The following is a 20,849-nucleotide window of genomic DNA, read 5'->3' on the forward strand; positions in this document are numbered from 1 at the left end:
GACCCAGGAAATCCACTCCTAGGTATATATCCAAAAGAACTGAAAGCAGAGACTCAAACAGATGTATCTGTATGCCAACCTTCACAGCAGCATTATTCACAGTAGCCAAAAGGTAAAAACAATCCAAGTGTCCATCAACAGATGAATGGATAAACAAAATGTGGAAGGCATGGAGGTGTGGTGGTGTGTGTATGTCTCACACACAATGGAATATTCTTTTATATATATACATATATATCTTACATACAATGGAATTTTATTCAGCCATAAAAAGGAATGAAATTTTGACATACCGTAAAAGACAGATGTAACCTTAGAAAAATCAGGCTTAGTGAAATAAACCAGATTCATACAATGTTCGTCCTTTTGTATCTGGTTTATGATGGATATTGTATGATTCTATTTATATAAGATACTTAGAAAAAGCACATTCCTAGAGACAGAGTGGAATAGTATTGACTAGGTGTGCAGTGGGGGAGGAAGTTATTGGTTAATGGGTACAGAGTTTTTGTTGGATATGATAAAAAGGTTTTGGGTATAGATAATTGTGATGGTTACATAACACCGTGAAAGTAATGCCACTGACTTGTACACTTGAGAATGGTTTTAAAAATATGTATATTTTACAATTTTTTAAAAAATGGTTATATCTGAAAAAACGACTTACACATATCCTTTGAAAGACAGTTGCTATGATGTTTATTAGTAACTTTCAAATAAAAAATTAAGAGTTGAGCCCTCCAATAACAAATAAATAATAAAAATCACTGACAGTGCTTTACTTACCCGTTTGGGGCCACTAAAAATCTTTCTGGTATTTTCCTTTGATTTATCTCCTTGTTTATTTATGGGCTTCTTCACACTTTCAGGCACACCAGGCAAGTCCTCTGTAAAATCCAAGTTTTCTGAAATGGTAATCAAAACTATCTAGCTTACTAATATTTCAAATTACCTACCAGACAACCTATCAAGATTATATATACATGAATGAATGAAAATGGGAAGAAAAGAATAAAGGAAATCACAGCACCACAGAGCTGACAAAATACTCCCTAGAATAAGAAGTTTCATTCTGCCATTCTCCCTTCCTGCTTGTCCCTCCCGCAAGAGAAATCATAAACCTGGTTGCTGTGTATGTGTTCTAGTCTTATTTTATGTCAAATGGAAAAATCAAATCTTTTCCAAAATAATTTTCTTACTTCCGAGAGGTCACATAACTGCTGGATATCCATGGATACTGACACTGGAATGGTAAGGTTTATACACACACAAAACATCATGCGTATCTACCTGTAACATTTTTCAGAACTTTAAATCCACTAAATCATGTTGGCCTTCAAAGAATGCCTGCTGGCAACTACAAAAGCCACATTTAAAACACCAGAAAAGGAGGACAGTTATCCTTGGCAAGAGATTTAAAATGACCTAATATAACAAAGTTTAATGATTTGTCGGTCTTCAAACACAACTAACCAAAGAGTCAGTTTATTTCCCAACTGGTTAAAAATATGTATCTTTTTCTAAGCGAAACAAAATAGGAAACATAGAAAGACTCTTCTCTATCCCAATGCTTAAAATTTTTTGCTGTTTCACTTATGGTATGAAGACTCAAATTTCAACTTTGGGTAGATCAACCAAATGGCCTCTAATTTTCAAATGTTATTTAGCATCTACTTCAAGTTTCTCAAAGGGAGTCTAATTTCACATTTTACATCTTTAAAAGTTGTATTACACAAGATGTAAATTTCAGCCACAGATTCTCAATTGCAGGGGATAACTTGCTATCCAGGTTAGAATAAAAGCTTATAAGTAAACTACAGCAGGACAAGGGCGCTGGTATTGTATAGCAGTATTTATCATTCTACTGAGGAAACAAATGCCTAGCTGTTCTGCCTAGCCAGATCTTAAGTGACTATAGTAAGGCTGCTGCAAATTTCCAGTCTCCAGAAAAGATTCAAAGACAACACTGGATGTATTTCTTTTTTCTTTTTTTTCGGGGGAGGCAGGGGTGAGCCCCTAGGGGTACTCCTGTGTATGTCTAGTTTTGAAGAATAAATTAAGCAAAACTATTTTCAGGCCAAATAAAGCAAAATGGTAGGTAATCTCAAGAATGACTTATATTCTACAAGAGAATTTGTATTTCAAAATACTACTGTAATTCTAATTTACCATAATGACACTTCTGTGGCCCTACCAGGAAAAAAGCTTTATTTAATATGTAAACCAATCCAGAAAAACTATATTTGGTTAAGAAACCATGTATCCTAGAAGCTTTCACAAATTCTTCCTCACTAGATAGTCAATCCACTTCACAAAGCCCTTGTCAGGTAATGACTTAATTATGGCAGAGCTAACCTATTTCTTTTGTTTGTCTCTCACAGTGGAGACTGAACTCCTTGAGGACCCTTAGTCACTACTGAGTCTACAATCTCGGCACAAATTAAATTTCCACAGTTAAGAGGGAATGCATACTTACCTGGCACTTTTCAATTTTATTAAACCAACTTAGGAGGGTTTGAGAGTGTTTTGAATGTTTATTAGTTTTTAGCCAACCACAAAGAGTTTTTAAATTCTAATCTTCTGGTATTTCCCTCATTATAACCACCTGTTATCAGTACAGTTCCAAAGGCCCAAAATCTAATCTATGTTTTCACTGCATTTGCATTTGTCAAGTGGAAACATCACGATGTTTGGTGTCCCTGCCCCATACACATATATGCTTTAAAATTCTCAAGTGCTAAAGGTTAAATTAAAACTCAAATATGAAGACTCTCCAATCTACAAATTGGTTCCTTACAACTTGGGACCTGATCATTAACACTTGAAATGCTGTACCTTTAGATAAGGTGATTTACGGTTCTAACAGGTACTTTTAATAAATATAACAAGCTAAACTTGAGTATCTAGGAAGAAACTATGCAGCTGTTGATTCAAGCCTGAAAAACACATTTAAAGTAGCCCCCCCAGCCATCAACAGGGAATACATGCCAGTTCCTAGTGGATGCCTGAAACCAGGAATAGTACACCAAAACCTGTATATACTATGTTTTTTCGTATACATACCTATGATAAAGTTTAATTTATAAATCAAGCACAGTAAGAGATTAGCAATGACTAAGAATAGAACAATGATTTTAACAATACGCTATAATAAATGTTATGTGAATGGGATCTTTATCTTATTATACTGTACTCACCTCTTTTCAGAATATGGTTGACCTTGGGTAATTGAAACCACAGAAAGTGAAACTGCAGGTAAGGGGGAACTATTGTACTTATTATACATATTTTTTAAATTCTTACCTGCATTGTTAGTACCAGACTGACTGTCCTGGGAATTATCATTGCTTTCTGGGGGAGGCTGCAAGGAGGGTGATGGAGCTGTTTTAGTTCTTTTTTTGCTTGTCTTTCTTTCTACTTGACAGTCATCATCTTCATCATCTTCGCTTTCACTGAGATCATCAAAGCCAAAATACTTAATTTTGTAATTAGAACTTCCAGAACCTCCTTCATCACCTCCTGTCTCATGATCTTCAAAACCAAAAAATTCAAGTTTAACATCCTTTTTGGATTTAGTATTACTAGGTCGAAATCTAGTAGTAGTCTTAGAAGTTGCAATATCTGCCTTTTTTCTGAGACGACCAGCTTCTCCCAAATCTGCAGGAGTGGATGCAGTGAACTCATCCATGCTGCGTTCCATAGTATCCTGTATGGTAACATTACAAACTGACAAGCAAGATGGATGTAAAACAGTGTAATCTCTAGTCCGTCCAACTGTCCCTCTAAAACTGGTCCCACAACTTACACCCCCTTTCTTTGCCTGATTCAGGCCATCTTTACTCGATTCACTGTTTGCTTTGGCTAAGGCCTGACTGGTGCCGTCCATCAGCTTATCAAAATTTGATGCTCCTTGGGAGGATTTCGTTTTATTGGCCCTACAGTACGTCCTACAGTTGGTTGGCCTAAGAACACTTTGTACAATATCTTCCTCAATGGCTTCATTCAGATTTTCCAATCGATTTTTAAAATCGTCATCCTTCATCTCCAAAAGGGGATCACTATCCAAACTTAAAATACAGTCTTCTGATCTGATATCTTCAAAATCATTATCCCATTCAAACAAACCAGTTCTAACAGATCCCTTGATTGGAGATATTTCTGATGGTGATTCTGGCCTTTTCCCAAACTGGGAGTTCCAAGTATCATTTGTTTCCTTGATTTCAGAAGCCACTGTAGTTTCTGCATTGGGTTTCTTAGTACTGTCATCAGCATTTTTGTGAATATGGTGACTATTCTTTTCATGTTCTTCATGAAAATTCTCCACTTTATCTGTAAAAATAAGTCAAAGGATAAAAACATGAGTGGTATCAACATAAAAGTTAATAAATAACATATATGTGGTTAATCAATAGTATATGATCAATCTTGGAAGAACTGCAAATAATTTTAAGTTGTGAAGAAATTAACATTTACATATCAGACATTTCCTCTCCTATCTTTTCAGTGTATAGCTCTCATGCCTTCTACTGACCTTTCCTCAGGCAACCAAGTCCCTTAAAATTGTAAACTCACAAGAAATTTCAGCAGGGTTAAGCAACTGAATCCATTCAGAATGACATGTAAATGACTCAGCCAAACCTTCTTAGGGGTATTATGGGCTTTTCAAATAAAGATGCTTAAATTAAAAATCATTTAGTAAAACCTAAACCAACTGAACAGTTAATAAAAACCTTCTACCAGTGTTTTTATTTATCTGGGATAGGGCTGCCCATAAGGTATGCTAGTTCTATCCAGAAACCTGTCCATAGGATCAGGTTTCTCTAGCTATTTCTGTTCTTTCTTCTAATCCTAAATGCCATATAATCTCAAGGGAATTTTTAGCAGTAGTTCTGGTGTGTTAGTTAAATGGCTAATAGTGGCTATTTATGCATATCAGCCAGTAATAAATCCTCAGCCTGCCTATTCATCTGGTATGTGGAGAATTCATTTTTGTTGCCTTCAATTTTTACTATCAGAACATTTTTACAACCTTTCCAAATGAGATACAAATATGATTCCAACTGGTATTATTAATTCCCTCAACATTTACTTGTAGAAAAACACTGACAAAATGTATACCCTATGCCAAACAATAAAATTACTTCTACAAAATACATCTACATTTAAGAAAAGCTATTTACAAATCTCAATTAGCATCATCAAATACAGGTGAGAGGGATGCTTTACATGGACAGATTCACTGCATAATTTTTAATTCTACCCAATAGGTTTTCCTGCCCTCAAGACAGGATCTCACTGTCACCCACACTGGAATACAGTGGTGTGATCACAGCTCACTGCAGCTTCAGAGACCTCCAGGCCTCAAGTGATCCTCCCACCTCAGCCTCCTGAGCAGCACTCCCAAACAGCTGGAACTACAGGTGTGCACCACCACACCTGCCTAACTCCCCTTTTTATTTAACAGACAGGGTCACACTACGGTGCCTAGGCTGGTCTTGAACTCCTGGGCTCAAGCAAACGTCCTGCCTCTGCCTCCCAAAGTGCTACAATCACAGGCATGAGCCACCACGTCCAGCCTCCAAAGGGTTTTAATGTAATTTAACAGGTTAAGATTTGGTAATATCTTTTAAAACTAAAAATGTACATGTGAAAGAAAGGACTTACTCTTGAAGCCAGCAGTTTCATTTACAAGTATTTAGAAATAACTTTCCACGAACACAAAATTACATAAGTAACAAGAAACTCAATAGAACACTGTTTCCTGGTTTTTGCTTTCATAAACAATATACCAATTAATAAAGAATTAAATTACCATATAGCAACACACCTGAATACTATGCAGTTGTTAAAAAGAATGAGGCAGCTCTACATTATGTACAGATATGGATGCTCTTAGAGATGGAATGACTAAGGGATAAGGAACAAGAAAAGACTTTCATACTTCTTGAATTTTATACTGCATGTAAGTTGTCTATTCAAAAGCCAAAACATAAAAAATGCCAAAATTGTATATTTTTGGAGTCCTTATCTGTTAAAAAAATATATTTATGAATCAAATACAACATCTTGAATTTACTTTAGTGAGGATAAAAATGAAACAAGACTGGCAATGAATTGTTTGTTGAAGATTAAACAGTTGAACTGTTTAATGGAGATGGAGATACAAATAGACATTATTTTTGTAGACATAAACACACAAATGTATACATCTGTGTAACTGTATACTAGTCTATACACACAAATATATACAGACTTCCTTTACCCTCTTATAAGAAAATGAAGATACTTCCTTTGATTTCTTACCAAACCCATCATTACACAGATGAGAAAAAAAGGCCCAGAGGGGCTAATGACTGCAGAGGTTCTCAATTAAATCAATAGTCAAAAGAGACTTCATAAAAAAGACCCATACCAAACTATATTACACTACGTCTAGTGGTGGCTGCTAAACACTAAAATGCTAGGCCAGGCGTGGTGGCTCATGCCTGTAATCCCAGCAGTTTGGGAGGCCAAGGCGGGCGGATCATGAGGTCAGGAGTTCGAGGCCAGCCTGGCCAACATGGTGAAACCCTGTCTCTACTAAAAACACAAAAATTAGCCAGGCGTGGTGGCGGGCGCCTGTAGTCCCAGCTACTCAGGAGGCTGAGGCAGGAGAACTGCTTGAACCCGGGAGGCAGAGGTTGCAGTGAGCCAAGATCATGTCACTGTACTCCAACCTGGGCAAAAGAGCGAGACTCTGTTTAAAAGAACAACAACAACAAAACTAATTCACTGGCTGGGCGCGGGGGCTCACACCTGTAATCCCAGCACTTTGGGAGGCTGAGGTGGAAATAGCAAATGTTTATCTCACGGTGTGCTGAGGACTAAACTTAAACAATGCCTTTAACCTGTAAGAAATCTGTGCAAATGATACAAAGTGGCTTGGAGACCATAACCCATGAAATACAGTTGAGGCAACTAGAAAGGTTTAATTGGTGCAGGGATGGAAGAAAACTGCCATTACATGAAACCTGCCTTTAAATATCTGAATGGCTGTCATGATAAGAAAACAAACTTCGCCGGGTGTGGTGGCTCATGCCTGTAATCCCAGCACTTTGGGAGGCCGAAGCGGGTGGGTCATCAGGTCAGGAGATTGAGACCATCCTGGCTAACACAGTGAAACTCCGTCTCTACTAAAAATACAAAAAAATGAGCCAGGCGTGGTGGCGGGCATCTGTAGTTCCAGCTACCCGGGAGGCTGAGGCAGGAGAATGGCGTGAACCCGGAAGGCGGAGCTTGCAGTGAGCCAAGATCACACCACTGCACCACGGCCTGGGTGACAGAGCAAGACTCCATCTCAAAAAAAAAAAAGAATACACACATGAAAAATGCTTATCATTAGTTGCTAGGGAAACACAAAAGGTAAATTCCTTAATATACCAAGAATCCTTACACATCAGTAAGTCCAATGTCCCAGTAGAAAATGGCGCTAGGGGCCAGGCACAATGGCTCAGGCCTATAATGCCGGCTCTTTGGGAGGCCGAGTCAGGCAGATCACTTGAGGCCAGAAGTTCGAGACCAGTGTGGCCAACATGGTGAAACCCTGTCTCCACTAAAAAGACAAAAAAAACCCAGCCAGGCGTGGTGGCACATGCCAGTCGTCCTCGCTACTTGGGAGGCTGAGGCACAAGAATTGTTTGAACCCAGGAGGCAGAGGTTGTAGTGAGCTGAGATAGCACCACTGCACTCCAGCCTGGGCAACAGAGCAAGACTCTGCCTCAAAAATAAATGAATAAATAATAAGCCAAGAACACAAAGAAGCAATTCATTAAAATATATATCTATAATGAATTAAATAACTTATGAAGGATACTCAATTTCACTCACAATTAAAACTCAAAGTAAAACAAAGCTGAACTATATTTATATAAGCCCTCGGTATGTGCCTGGTAGTATTCTAAATACTTTCTATTAATTTATTTTATCTCAAAGCAACCATCAGGCCAGGTGCGGTGGCTCACGCCTGTAATCCCAGCACTTTGGGAGGCAGAGGTGGGCAGATCACGAGGTCAGGAGATCGAGACCAGACTAGCTAACACGGTGACACCCCATCTCTACTAAAAAATACAAAAAATTAGCCGGGCGTAGTAGCACACACCTGTAGTCCAAGCTACTTGGGAGGCTGAGGCAGAAGAATCGCTTGAACCTGGGAGGCAGAGGTGGCAGTGAGCCCCGTCGACAGAGCGAGACTCAGTCTCAAAAAAAAAAAGAAAAAGGAATAACAGGGACATAGCAGTACGTGCTTATAGTCCCACCTAGAGCTACCCAGGGCACTGTGGCCAGCGGTTCATTTGAGGCTGCTGTTATGATCACACCTGTGTGAGTAGCCACGCACTCCAGCCTGAGCAACACAGCGAGGCTCCATCTTGACAACAAAAAACAACAAAAAATAGGAATAAAATTGATGCCAAAGAACTTTTTTGTCCAAAACCTTTATATACTTTAGCAATAACATTCATTCATATATATATAAACTAACTGAAAAAAGCCCACTCATCTCTTAAAAGATACATTTCCAATAAATTTTATCTTTAATATATACAGCATTCAAGTTTGATTATAGCATTCAAGTTTGATCAAATATTCTGAGAGCATTTGATTAAAAAAATAAAAGCACTGATAACTGTGATCATGATGTAGTACAGAATTATTTTTAAAACAGTTTAGAGCACTACAGTCACATAAAATTCCTAAAAGCTGTAGAGTTTTTTTTTCTGTAGAGACAGGATTTTTTTATGTTTTTTTTATGTTGCCCAGGCTGGTCTCAAACTCCTAGACTCAGGCGATCCTCCCATCTCAGCCTCCCAAAGTACTGGGATTACAAGCTTCAGCCACAGTGCCCAACTCTTTTTTTTTTTTTTTTTTTTTTTTTGGAGACAGAGTCTTGCTCTGTCAATAAGGCAGTGGTGCAGTCTCCACCTCCCACGTTCAAGTGATATTCTCCTGTCTCAACCTCCTGAGTAGCTGGGACTACAGGCGCGAGTCACCATTCCCAGCTAATTTTTTTATTTTTAGCAGAGACGGGGTTTCACCATGTTGACCAGGCTGGTCTCAAACTCCTGACCTCAAGTGATCTGCCTACCTCAGCCTCCCAAAGTGCTAGGATTACAGGCATGAGCCACCGCGCCCGGTCACAGCCCTTAAAAATTTGAATTTAAATGCATATACATATTTTTGTACCAGCCTCGGCTCTTAAAAATTTGAATTTAAATGCATATACATATTTTTATACCAAGAATTATGAAAAGGATGACCACTAAAAGACTAAACATAAATACTATAATCATTAGGATAAAATTCTGAAGGGGAAGTAGGATAGAAATACAATTTCAAAAAGAACAAGGAACACTATATTCTGGCTATTGAAGAGCATGTTCTTGTATTTTTTTAAACATACGAAAGTGAACAGTTTCTGGGGCATAATGGGGACTTGTAAGAAAGAAAAATTATTAAAGAAAAAATTTTAAAAAGAGAATGAACAGCAAGTAATTATGGCATTTGCAAGCAAGAAAATAATTATGGGCCAGAAGCACTGGTTCATGACAGTAATACCAACACTTTGGGAGGCCAAGGTGTGAGGACTACTTGAGCTCAGGAGTTCAAGACCTTGTCTCTACTAAAATCAAAAAAAATTAGCTGACTGTGATGGTACACACCCGTGGTCCCAACTTCTCAGGAGGCTGAGGCAGGAAGATTACCTGTGCCCAGAAGATTGAGGCTGCAGTGAAACATGATTGCATTACTGTACTCCAGTCTGGGCAACAGAGCGAGACCATCTCCAAAAACAAAAACAAACAAACAAACAAACAAAATACTTTGAGGGTGAGGAAGGAGGAAGTGATGCATGAAAGAACTTCTAAACTGGCTGGCACAATTCTATTTCCTAACTTAGGTAATGGTTACAGGAGTGTTCCTCTTCTAATAATTAATTAAGCTAGACCCTTTTGTGTGGTTTTCTGTTTTATTTTACAATTTAAAAAAGTTAAAAGAAATCACTATGACATCTAAACTGCATGTTATATTTTAAAATGTCAATATTGGCCACGTGTGGTGGCTCACGCCTGTAATCCCAGCACTTGGGGTGGGAGGGGCGGCAGGCCAAAGCAGGGGGATCACTTGCATCCAGGAGTCAGAGACCAGCCTAGGCAACAAAGCAAGACTCTCTCTACAAAAAAAAATTTTGAAAATCAGCCAGGAGTGGTGGCACGTTCCTATAGTCCTAGCTACTCAGGAAGTGGGGGTAGGAGGATCACTTAAGCCCAGGAGTTTAAGGTTGCAGTGAGCAATGATCGCACCACTGCACTCCAGCCTGGGCAACAGAGAAAGACCTTGTTTCTAAAAAAAATTAAAAGGACACCTGGGGTTCATTCTTTCTACCACTTCTTTGCCCTACACTGGACTAAGGGTGCCTCTTTTCCTGCAGCCCTCCCTACTATTTCAGAGCAGGACAGTTTGGGGACACTGATATGCTGACTCTCCAGAGCCTCTTTATAAAATGATTACTCCTCCACCCTGTTATATAAGAGCCCCTTCTTGGCTTCTCTGATTTTCTTGTGTAAGACTAAACAAATAATAATAAAAAGACAACAAAAATAAGTAAGGAAAGATTTAAAAAAAAAAAAAAAAAGTAGTGGCCGGGCATGGTGGCTCACACCTGTAATCCCAGCACTTTGGGAGGCCGAGGCGGGCGGATCACCTGAGTTCAGGAGTCCAAGACCACCCTGGCCAATATAGTGAAACCCCGTCTCTACCAAAAATACAAAAATTAGCCAGGTGTGGTGACAGGCGCCTATAATCCCAGCTACTCGGGAGGATGAGGCAGGAGAATCGCTTGAACCCGGGAGGCAGAGGTTGCAGTCAGCCAAGACTGTGCCACTGCACTCCAGCCTGGGCGTCAGCGAGACTCTGTCTCAAAAAAAAAAAAAAAAAAAAAAAATTAAAGCCCCTTCTTTTAAGGCTTGTGCTAGTTACCCTCTAATCTTCCTAATACTTGTCATCCAACAACCTCTTATTCAACCTCTTATTCACTGTTCATGTATTTAAGGATTTTACACCATATTTATAATCTACTCCTCCATCCCAATTTTGCTATCACACTGAATTCCACCAAATTCCAACCCTCTGATTTCCCAGTTCTTTAACCTTATCTCATCATCAACAATCTTCCGCATTCCATCTCAGCCACCAGTTCTCAGTTGCATCCAGAAGCTTGCCGTATATCCTAAAATGCTTCACTTCATAAACATTAAAATCAGATAGCCCACTGTTTTTTTTTTTTTAATCACAACCTACCAACCATCCAACTTGCTTGTGCCAGTACTCCCATTCTTCATTTTTATTTAAGAAGATTCTCAGTATACTAACCCCTTTCTCCCCTTTCTCCTATTCATTAGCCCTGTCCGGGCACTCAGCATTTTAAATTCCACAGTCTATCTTCTCAATCTCTCTCTGGGCAATAACACCCTAAATTCCCTTGCTTCTCTATCTCTTCATTCCACATGCTGACTGACAAAATGTCTATTGAGGACAATTCTAATAATCTTATCCAATATTCTGTATTCTGTCCAGGTTCCAGATAATGGGGCCTACTAGAGGAGGAGGAAAAAAACATACACACTAGGTAGATTAGTGACCATGTGTTTTTAGTGACACCAACTTCAACTAAGGCCTCAATAATGTCCAGAAATTCTACTTTGTCTCTAGACAGCTCATTCTCCCACTTTAAGTAACATCTATCTGAACTCTTTCCTGCTCCCCCAAACCCCCCAAGTTACCCTGCCTTTCTTTGTCCCTTTCAGTAATAACCTCTTTGGTCATTTTATGGGATAAGGGAAAACACACTTTTAGCTATAAACCACCTTCTCTTATGTCCTCCCACTAAGCTCATCTTTTTACTCAACTTTCCTCCTTCCAGCCAAACATAGCACCCCTTCTTCCAAAACGGTTCTCTTGCGCTTTGGATCCCACGCATTAAACCATCTAGAATCCCTCACATCCCTCTAGCTGCCCTTTTTCTTCTCCTCCCCTTCGAACATCTTTAACAAGTTGTAAACACTTGTTACCCCCCATTTCCTCACCCCTTGGATCACTCCAGTCCAAGCTGCAAATCCAAGGTCTGCCTTGCAGTCCTCACTTAAGTTGATGGCAGCAGCATTCCGCGTCAGTCAATACTTTCTGAAATACTTTTACATTGGCTTCTATAATATATCACTTCTCTGGTTTCCCTTAAGCTGCTCTAGCTGCTCCTACTGAATTTCCTTTTCTAGTTTCTTCCTCTTCTCCCCCTCCATTAGTATTGAAAGTTCTTTTTTTTTTTTTTTTTTGAGACAGAGTCTCTGTCACCCAGGCTGGAGTGCAGTGGCGCGATCTCGGCTCACTGCAAGCTCCGCCTCCAGAGTTCACGCCATTCTCCTGCCTCAGCCTCTCCAAGTAACTGGGACTACAGGCGCCCGCCACCACGCCCGGCTAATTTTTTGTATTTTTAGTAGAGACAGGGTTTCACCGTGGTCTCGATCTCCTGACCTCGTGATCCGCCCGCCTCTGCCTCCCAAAGTGCTGGGATTACAGGCGTAAGCCACCGCGCCCGGCCAGTATTGGAAGTCCTTCACAGCACAGTCCTAATACTTTTTCCTCTTACACTCTCTTTAATGACTTCAACTAATCCTTTCTTTCCAGATAATATTTATATACTGAATTTCGAATTAATTGTCTCTAATCAAGGCTTCTTATCTCAGCTCCATTCCAGCAAATCTGCCACTGAAACATATCTTACAAACATCTCAAACCCAATGTACCCAAAACTGAACTCAAACTTTCTGTCAAAATGTTCCCTATCTCAGTAAATGACACTACCATCTGCTCAGCTGCTCACATTACATAGCTGGGAATAATTCCTGATGCCTCCTTCCTCATCACTCATGTCACCAAACTCTGCCACTTCTATCCTTTCTCAGTGCACCAACAGGTCCCAGGTTAAATATCAGCCTTGCCTACGTACCTGCACCCCTAGAACAAGCAAGTAAGCCCATAGAGTGCTACACTCCCGCACCACTCTATATATTTTTTCCTTTTCAGCACACTTGTGATTGTTTATTCTATCTTCCCCAGTACAATGCGAGAAATGCAAGTGAGTCCATCTTGTTCATGGACACTAAAATAATAGCTGGAAGGAGGCATCCCCGTAGACCTTCCTATGAACAAACTCATCCTCCTCTACCATCAGGGGTCTAGGAAAGTTGAGTACTACTTCCTAAAGGCACAAGTGCTGGAAAAGAAAAATTCATGAGGTATCATCTGGCTCGAAGCTCTTTGGTTTTTTTTTTTTTTTTTGAGACAGAGTCTCGCTCAGTCACCCAGGCTGGAGTGCAATGGCATGGTCTCAGCTCACTGCAACCTCCACCTCCCGGGTTCAAGCAATTCTCCTGCCTCAGGCTCCGGACTAGCTGGGACTACAGGCACCCGCCACCGTGCCTGGCTAATTTTTGTTATTTTTAGTAAAGACCGGGTTTTACCATGTTGGCCAGGCTGGTCTCGAACTGCTGACCTCGTGATCCGCCCGCCTCGGCCTTCCAAACCGAAGTGCTGGGATTACAGGCATCAGCCACTCCACCCGGCCTTTTTTTTTTTTTTTTTTTTTTTTGAGACAGAGTCTCGTTCTGTTGCCCAGGCTGGAGTGCAGTGGCATGATCTTGACTCACTGCAACCTCTGCCTACCGGGTTTAAGCGATTCTCCTGCCTCAGCCTCCTGAGTACCTGGGATTATAGGCACACGCCACCACGCCTGGCTAATTTTTGTATTTTTAGTAGAGACGGGATCTCACCATGTTGGTCAGGCTGGTTTCGAACTCCTGACCTCGTGATCCACCCGCCTTGCCTCCCAAAGTGTTGGGATTACAGGTGTGAGCCACCGCACCCGGCTGTCTGGCTTCAAGTTCTAAAAGCATAAAATACTTAGGGAAAATGCTCTGAAAAGCATAATGTATTATATAAAAGTGTTGTCATGTTAGAAGCTAGTTCTTTATCATGACCAGCAGAAGTCAGTAACTCTAAAGTACAGAGGCTATGTTTATAAATTTCATATTTTACCCCATAGCTGGTATTCAATCTGGATCTGAGAAGAAATTTGTTAGTGGTCTCCCATGCGTTTGTTAATATACAAACCTTGAGAATAATACTCCTTTTCCTCAGAAAATCTGAGTAAGAAACAAAAGTTCTGCTTTAGAACAAAATGAATTTACTTAAAATTATAATGCCTCTTTCATAATTTACATAATGTTGAATTTCCATTTATATACACATATGAAAATAAGTAGTAGAAAATATCTATAAAAATCAAGTCAAAAACTTTATTCGGTAAGTATTAAAAATAGTTTGGTCATCATTCTTGTTTTGTTTTGTTTTTGAGATGGTATCTTGCTGTGTCACCCAGGCTGTGACCCAATCATGGCTCGCTGCTGCCCTGAACTGCTGGGCTCAAGTGATCCTCAACTCAGTCTCCCAAGTAGCTGGAACTACGGGTGCACCCCAACACATCAGGCTAATTTTTTTTTTTTTTTGAAGAAATGGGATGTCACTATGTTGACCAGGCTGGTTTTGAACTCCTGGGCTCACGCCATCCTCCCACTTTGGCCTACCCAAGTGCTGGTATTAACAGGTGTGAGCCACCATGCCTGGCCCATCATTCTTATTAAAAAGAAAATTACTTAAGCCAGGTGGCATGCCTGTAATCCCAGCCTCTCAGAAGGCTGAGGCAGGAGGCTGAGGTGGGAGCACTGCATGAGCCCAGGAGTTTGAGGCCAGCCAGGGCAAGACAGCCAGATCCCACCTCTTTACAAAAATCACATCTTTAAAATTAAAAAAAGCAGAAAATTACTTGAACAGAGACAAGAGGGAATCCATAATTTGCCCCTTGCAAAATAACTTTATTTCCAACATCAAGATAAAACTGCTCTTACAGTGACAGTCTCTTCTAAATATACAGCTTTGAAGATGACAAAATTTATCTCATTCACATCAGAATACAACAGCACTGTATGAAAAGAACACTTTGGATGTTTCCCAGATCTTCCACTTAACAGTTCAAGTTATTCAACCTCTGAACTGTGCCTTACCCTCAATATAATGGAAATAAAGCCTCCCTTATACAGTTGTGATTAAGGATCAATTGATATGTAAAAGTAGGAATTTAAGAAATAACAGGGCCGGGCACAGTGGCTCATGCCTGTAATCCCAACACTTCGGGAGGTGGAGGCAGGAGGACTACTCAAGCCCAGGAGTTCAGGACCAGGCTGGGCATACTGAGACACGGTCTCTACAAAAAATATAGAAATTAGCCCAGTGTGGTGGTGAACCATTGTACTCCCAACTACTGGGGAGGCCGAGGAGGGAAGATGGCTTCAGCCCAGGAGGTAGAACCTGTGATAAGCCATGCACTCCAGCCTGGATGAGAGAGTAAGACCCTGTCTCCAAAAAATAAAAATAAAAATAAAAAAAGAAATAATAGGTCTTATCCACTTCTCTTAAAAAGAAGCTGATTTTCGGTATGATTTAAATATATTCTACACAACAAATACATTCAATAAATAAAGGCAGGTAACTCTTGCTGATACTATCCTTTCAGGACTTAAAAAATAATAATAATCCTCATATCATCTGTACTTTATCCAATGACAATCTCATCTCAGATCACAAGTTCCTGTCCTACTTTAAACTTTCAGTAATAAAACATTTCCCTTTCTAAAAAATCACCTTCAGTTCTAAATCCAAGTTCAAAATCTCCTGACAATACCATCCCTCTAACTTACACAAATACTCATTACAGCTTTAAGCAAATTAAAAAAATTTATTGGCTACAAAACCAGTCAGGCAAATTAAGAGCCTATGCTGTAGTTATCTCAATATTTGGCAGGATATGTAGACTGAATCCCAGCTGGCTGGCAAGAAAAGTGTGCCAAGCCGAAATATAAGTCTTTGCACACTTTATTCTAGAGTCCAGATTAAAAACCTGTAGCAGAACAAAGATGAGAAATGGAAGTAGCCTTGCATAAAAGGCAAGAGAAGCCTTCTTTTTGCCTCTACTACCGACGGCATTGATTCAAACCATTAAGGAATACCTGGAGATCTCTTAGAAGGGTGGACCTTTAGCTCCTGCTAACAGTCATTTTTAATTGGCACACCTGGCTGAGAACTGACTGGCTTTAATAGCAACTGCAATCAGAAATTTCTGTTTTCAAAATTAAAGATTAGATACAGAAGTATTTGCAGATAGAAACAGAAATCTTAAACTAGCTTTAAAATCCAGGGAGTAAAGGATGGGAAGTGGAGAGAGTAGCGTGCAAAACAGATGCAACAAGATCTGCCAGATACAACTATTGGAGGTGGACAATCAAGTACATGAGGTTTTTTTTTACCATTCTATTTTTGTGTGCCTGAAAAGTTTCATAATAAACGTTTTCTTCTTGTTTAAGGAACAGGACATTTTAGCAACACAACCCTTCCCTGCAGTACCTATTCAGTTTGTAATCTTGTTTCTGGTTCCCTTACCCACCAAGCATCTGTCTGGAAAATGGGAACTACTGTAGGTTTTGCGGGGTTTTTTTGTTTTTGTTTTTTGAGATGGAGTCTCGCTCTGTTGCCCAAGTTGGAGTGCAGTGGCACCACCTCGGCTCACTGCAACCTCTACCTCCCCGATTCAAGCAATTTCCGCTAATTTTTTTGTATTTTTAGTAGAGATGGGGGTTTCACTATGTTGGCCAGGCTGGTCTCGAACTCCTGACCTCAAGCGATTCACCCGCCTCGGCCTCCCAAAGTGCTGGATTACAGCCACTGTATGTTTTATAGTGACCTCATCCTAAGTTTCCTCTTCAAGTGAAACACAATTTATTTATTTACTTATTTATTGAGTTGGAGTCTTGCTCTGTCACCCAGGCTGGAGTGCGGTGGCATAATCTCAGCTCACTGCAACCTTCACCTCCGGGGTTCAAGCAGTTCCCGCCTCAGTGTCCTGAGTAGCTGGGATTACAGACATGCGCCACCACACCTGGTTAATTTTTGTATTTTTTTTAGTAAAGACGGGGTTTCACCATGTTGGTCAGGCTGGTCTCGAACTCCTGAACCTCCCCCAAAGTGCTGGGATGACAGGCATGAGCCGCCACACCCGCAACAAAATTTTTAAAAGTACTATCCGTTATAAAAGTACTTAAAGAATTTTAACAGTGTCAAAAAAATCAACCACATACTCCCCTATAGAGAAAGAGATGCACTTAAAAACGTAATGCCAGGACAAATGACATAATAATTCTGAGCCTGGATAAGCCCTTTTCACTGAGGTGATATAATTCTACAGCAAAAAAATAGTATGAACGAGAAGGACACTCAACACTCCACTGGAAAGATATGACGGAACTTCACCTGTGCACTTTGAATGAGTTGTTAAAATTTGCAACAGGTTTTTAAATAAAATGCCTAACCATGACCTGCAAAAGACTGCTAAGATTTCTGAGACCCAAGTAGGTACATGAATACTTGCATCTGGAGAAAAGAGTTCAAAACTTTATCATTCTCAGAAGGGTCCCTAAAGCAAAAAAGGTTAGGAACCACTTGAGATTTAGAGAGGCCTCTTTTATCAAAAATTTAGGTTTGGGTTTCTAAATTTCAATTAAAATTACAAGGTTTTCTGAGTGAGAGTAAAGGCAATGAAAATTGACAGACATAATGCAAGAAAACAGTCTAGGCACAAGAGAAATGACCAGTTTAGAGGGGAGAGACAAAGGAAAAGTCACAAAGTACAAAAGCATCCCCACAACTATAACAAACTTACAAACATACAAACTTACAAATGGTTTATAAGAACAACTAACTTGCACACATTAGAGACAGGATAAGTCTACCATGAAAATTAAATGCACTCCCTCAAATTCACTTCTTATCCTACAGGGAGCTGCCAAGGTTGTTGCAACTCTGGATGACCAAGGGAGAGGAGAAAAAAAGAAATATTCATAGTGCTACACCATTCCCTGACCACTAAGAGACCCTTTGTGAAGGAGGAAGGAAGATGGACAAGATGTTCCTGAACATCTATTTACCTGTATTTTAGTATGTATTTTCCCCTCACAGACCAATTAAAATGGAGTTTGGACTCAGAGTCAGTCCACAGTATCAGCATTAGAACTACATTTTAGCTACATAGACTGGGAAGCAATTATCCCACTTAGCTGGTTGGTCTCACCAACCAACTTCCAACAACAGATTTAACATAAAGATATATTGTCCGCAAAGCTACAGAAACAATTACTTATGAATAACTTCCACATTCCTTTTCCCCCTTACCTAAACGTTCAACTTTATTAATACACTCTGCCATCAGGGCCCCTGCCTGCCAATGATGCCCCATTCCTCAAAAGACCATACACTTAAGGAAGATGGAGTCAGCCCTGAGCACTTTCACCACTTGCACAGTTTAATCTTACTTCCTCCGGCCCACCCACCCCACACTGTAGATTATCTGAAAACATCAAGAAATGTCAGGCTGGGCACAGTGGCTCACGCCTATATTCCCAGCACTTGGGGAGGCCAAGGCGGGTGGATCACATGAGGTCAGGAGTTCTAGACCAGCCGGGCCAACATGGTGAAACGCCGTCTCTACTAAAAATACAAAAATTAGCAGGGCATGGTGGCAGGTGCCTAAAATCCCAGCTACTCGGGGGGACTGGGGCAGGAGAATTGCTTGAACCCGAGAGGCGGAGGTTGCAGTGAGCCAAGATAGCGCCATCGCACTCCAGCCTGGGGGGACAAGAGCGAGACTTCATCTCAAAAAAAAAAAAGAAAAAAAAGAAATGTCAGTTGGAACAACAAACACAAGCAGAATAGCATTCGCAGAGCCTTGTACAGTGGTTTGACGGACAGTAGGTGCTCAATATGTTGATAATAAACGAATCTCATTCCAGTTCTGCCACTAGCTGACCTTGGACAGTCATTTAACCTCTTTGAGCTTCTTATATAAAATGAGAGCTGAGTTAAAATTCATTTTAGTTCAAAAAAAGTTTGATGGGCCAGAAGCGATGGCTCACGCTTGCAATCCCAGCACTTTGGGAGGCCTAGATAGGCAGATCACTTGAGGTCAGGAGTTTGAGACTAGCCTGGCCAACACGGTGAAAACCTGTCCCTACAAAAATACAAAAATTACCTGGGCATGATGGCAGGTGCCTATAATCCCAGCTACTGGGGAGGCTGAGGTGGGAGAATCACTTGAATCCGGGAAGCGGAGGTTGCAGTGAGGCAAGACTGCGCCACTGTACTACAGCCTGGGCAACACAGCGAGACTGTGTCTCAAAAAAAAAAGTTTGATGATTTTAATATACATTTATACATTTTTAGGAGCTGACCTGGAAACAGTTTTTATGCTGTCTATGCCTTTTTTTTTTTTTTTTTTTGAGATGGCATCTTGCTTTGTTGCCCAGGCTGGAGTGCAGTGGTGCGATCTCGGCTCACTGCAACCTCTGTCTCCTGGGTTCAAGTGATTCTCCTGCCTCAACCTCCGTAGTAGGTGGGATTTAGAGGCACCCGCCACCATGCCCAGCTAATTTTTTGTATTTTTAATAGAGATGGGGTTTCACCATGTTGGCCAGGCTGGTCTTGAACTCCTGACCTCAGGTGATCCAACTGCCTTGGCCTCCCAAAGTGCTGGGATTACAGGCATGAGCCACTGCACAGGTCCTTTACGCTGTTTTTTAATGGAAATTTAACCTAAACTTAACTTGTCAACAACGCCTGAGGAGAAATGTGGGCAAAGCAGGAAGGACAGCCAAATTAGAATTAACCCTGAGGATCAAGGGAATGACAATAACAGCTGGCTCATCGTCTCATCCAAGAGTGAGAAAAAGAGTGAAAAAATGCTCAACATTTTTAGTAAAACTATGCAAGGCCCAGTACATTGTACTGTTTCACATACCTTAACCTTCAAAGGACAAATTTGCCTTAAGAATTCAGTACAGCCAAGTTTTGTCTGTGTTTACTTCCTTTCAAAATAGGAGATTTTTATAACCTCTCATTATTGCTAAACTTTGCCAAGACGTCAAGAACTAAGGTTTCTTTTCAATTACAGTATACTGCCACCCTTATCCTAATGCTGATAGAGTGCTCCCACTTCTCCACCCCACCTCTTCCCTGCCACCCTCAATATTAGCTCTTCAGTCTTTTAATTAATTGCACCTTTTTCACTTATTATAAATCTCAAATCCCTTACAGAAGACAGAACAAAATATATCGTTTTAGGAGAGAATACTAGATGCTATATTTACAAATTAACATTTTTAAAATACAACCAGTTTTGTGGTTTAAAATCTATCAACACAGCCGGGCACGGTGGCTCATGCCTGTAATCCCAGCACTTTGGGAGGTGAGGCGGGCAGATCACGAGGTCAGGAGATGGAGACCATCCTGGCTAACACAGTGAAACCCTGTCTCTACTAAAAATACAAAAATTAGCCAGGCGTGGTGGCGGGCGCCTGTAGTCCCAGCTACTCGGGAGGCTGAGGCAGGAAAATGGCATGAACCTGGGAGGCGGAGCCAGCATGGGCGACAGCGAGACTCCTTCTCAAAAAAAAAAATCTATCAATACAAGTTGATACTGGCCCCAAACTAATCTCAATTTGGAATCAAGTTCAATTCTTTAAATGTCTCCACTCAATACCCCCTTAATCTTTCTGAACTAGTTTTGGCAGAGAGTCTACCATTGGTAACTAATCCTCATTTTAAATACTCATCTCATTTTCATTATCAATAACCATCCAAATCCTCCACAGTAATAGAAA

At 40.4% G+C, this 20,849-nt stretch overlaps 1 protein-coding gene across 2 annotated transcripts in view, besides 1 other annotated feature; it reads right to left on the minus strand.

The window, feature by feature from the left end:
* The window catches only part of WAPL (WAPL cohesin release factor), an 86,537-nt gene that overhangs the window by 61,159 nt on the left and 4,529 nt on the right, over positions 1-20,849 (minus strand). Inside the window, exons 3-4 of one of the 2 annotated variants that reach the window (NM_001318328.2) lie at positions 3,304-4,329; positions 787-887 (exon numbers count right to left, since the gene is read on the minus strand). In NM_001318328.2, the coding sequence (NP_001305257.1) occupies positions 787-887; positions 3,304-4,329 (1,127 nt within the window). Of the gene's footprint in view, positions 1-786; positions 906-3,303; positions 4,330-20,849 lie in introns of both variants that reach the window. The other variant, NM_015045.5, reaches the window with a different exon arrangement.
* Positions 7,298-7,798: an enhancer, noted in NCBI's record as "H3K4me1 hESC enhancer chr10:88263469-88263969 (GRCh37/hg19 assembly coordinates)". NCBI's record gives its function as "activates a minimal SCP1, AML or CMV promoter by ChIP-STARR-seq in primed H9 embryonic stem cells {active_cell/tissue: H9 hESC(primed)}" and the evidence as "EXISTENCE:reporter gene assay evidence [ECO:0000049][PMID:30033119]".

This window comes from Homo sapiens, chromosome 10 (genome assembly GCF_000001405.40).
Source record: "Homo sapiens chromosome 10, GRCh38.p14 Primary Assembly".
NCBI lineage: Eukaryota > Metazoa > Chordata > Mammalia > Primates > Hominidae > Homo > Homo sapiens.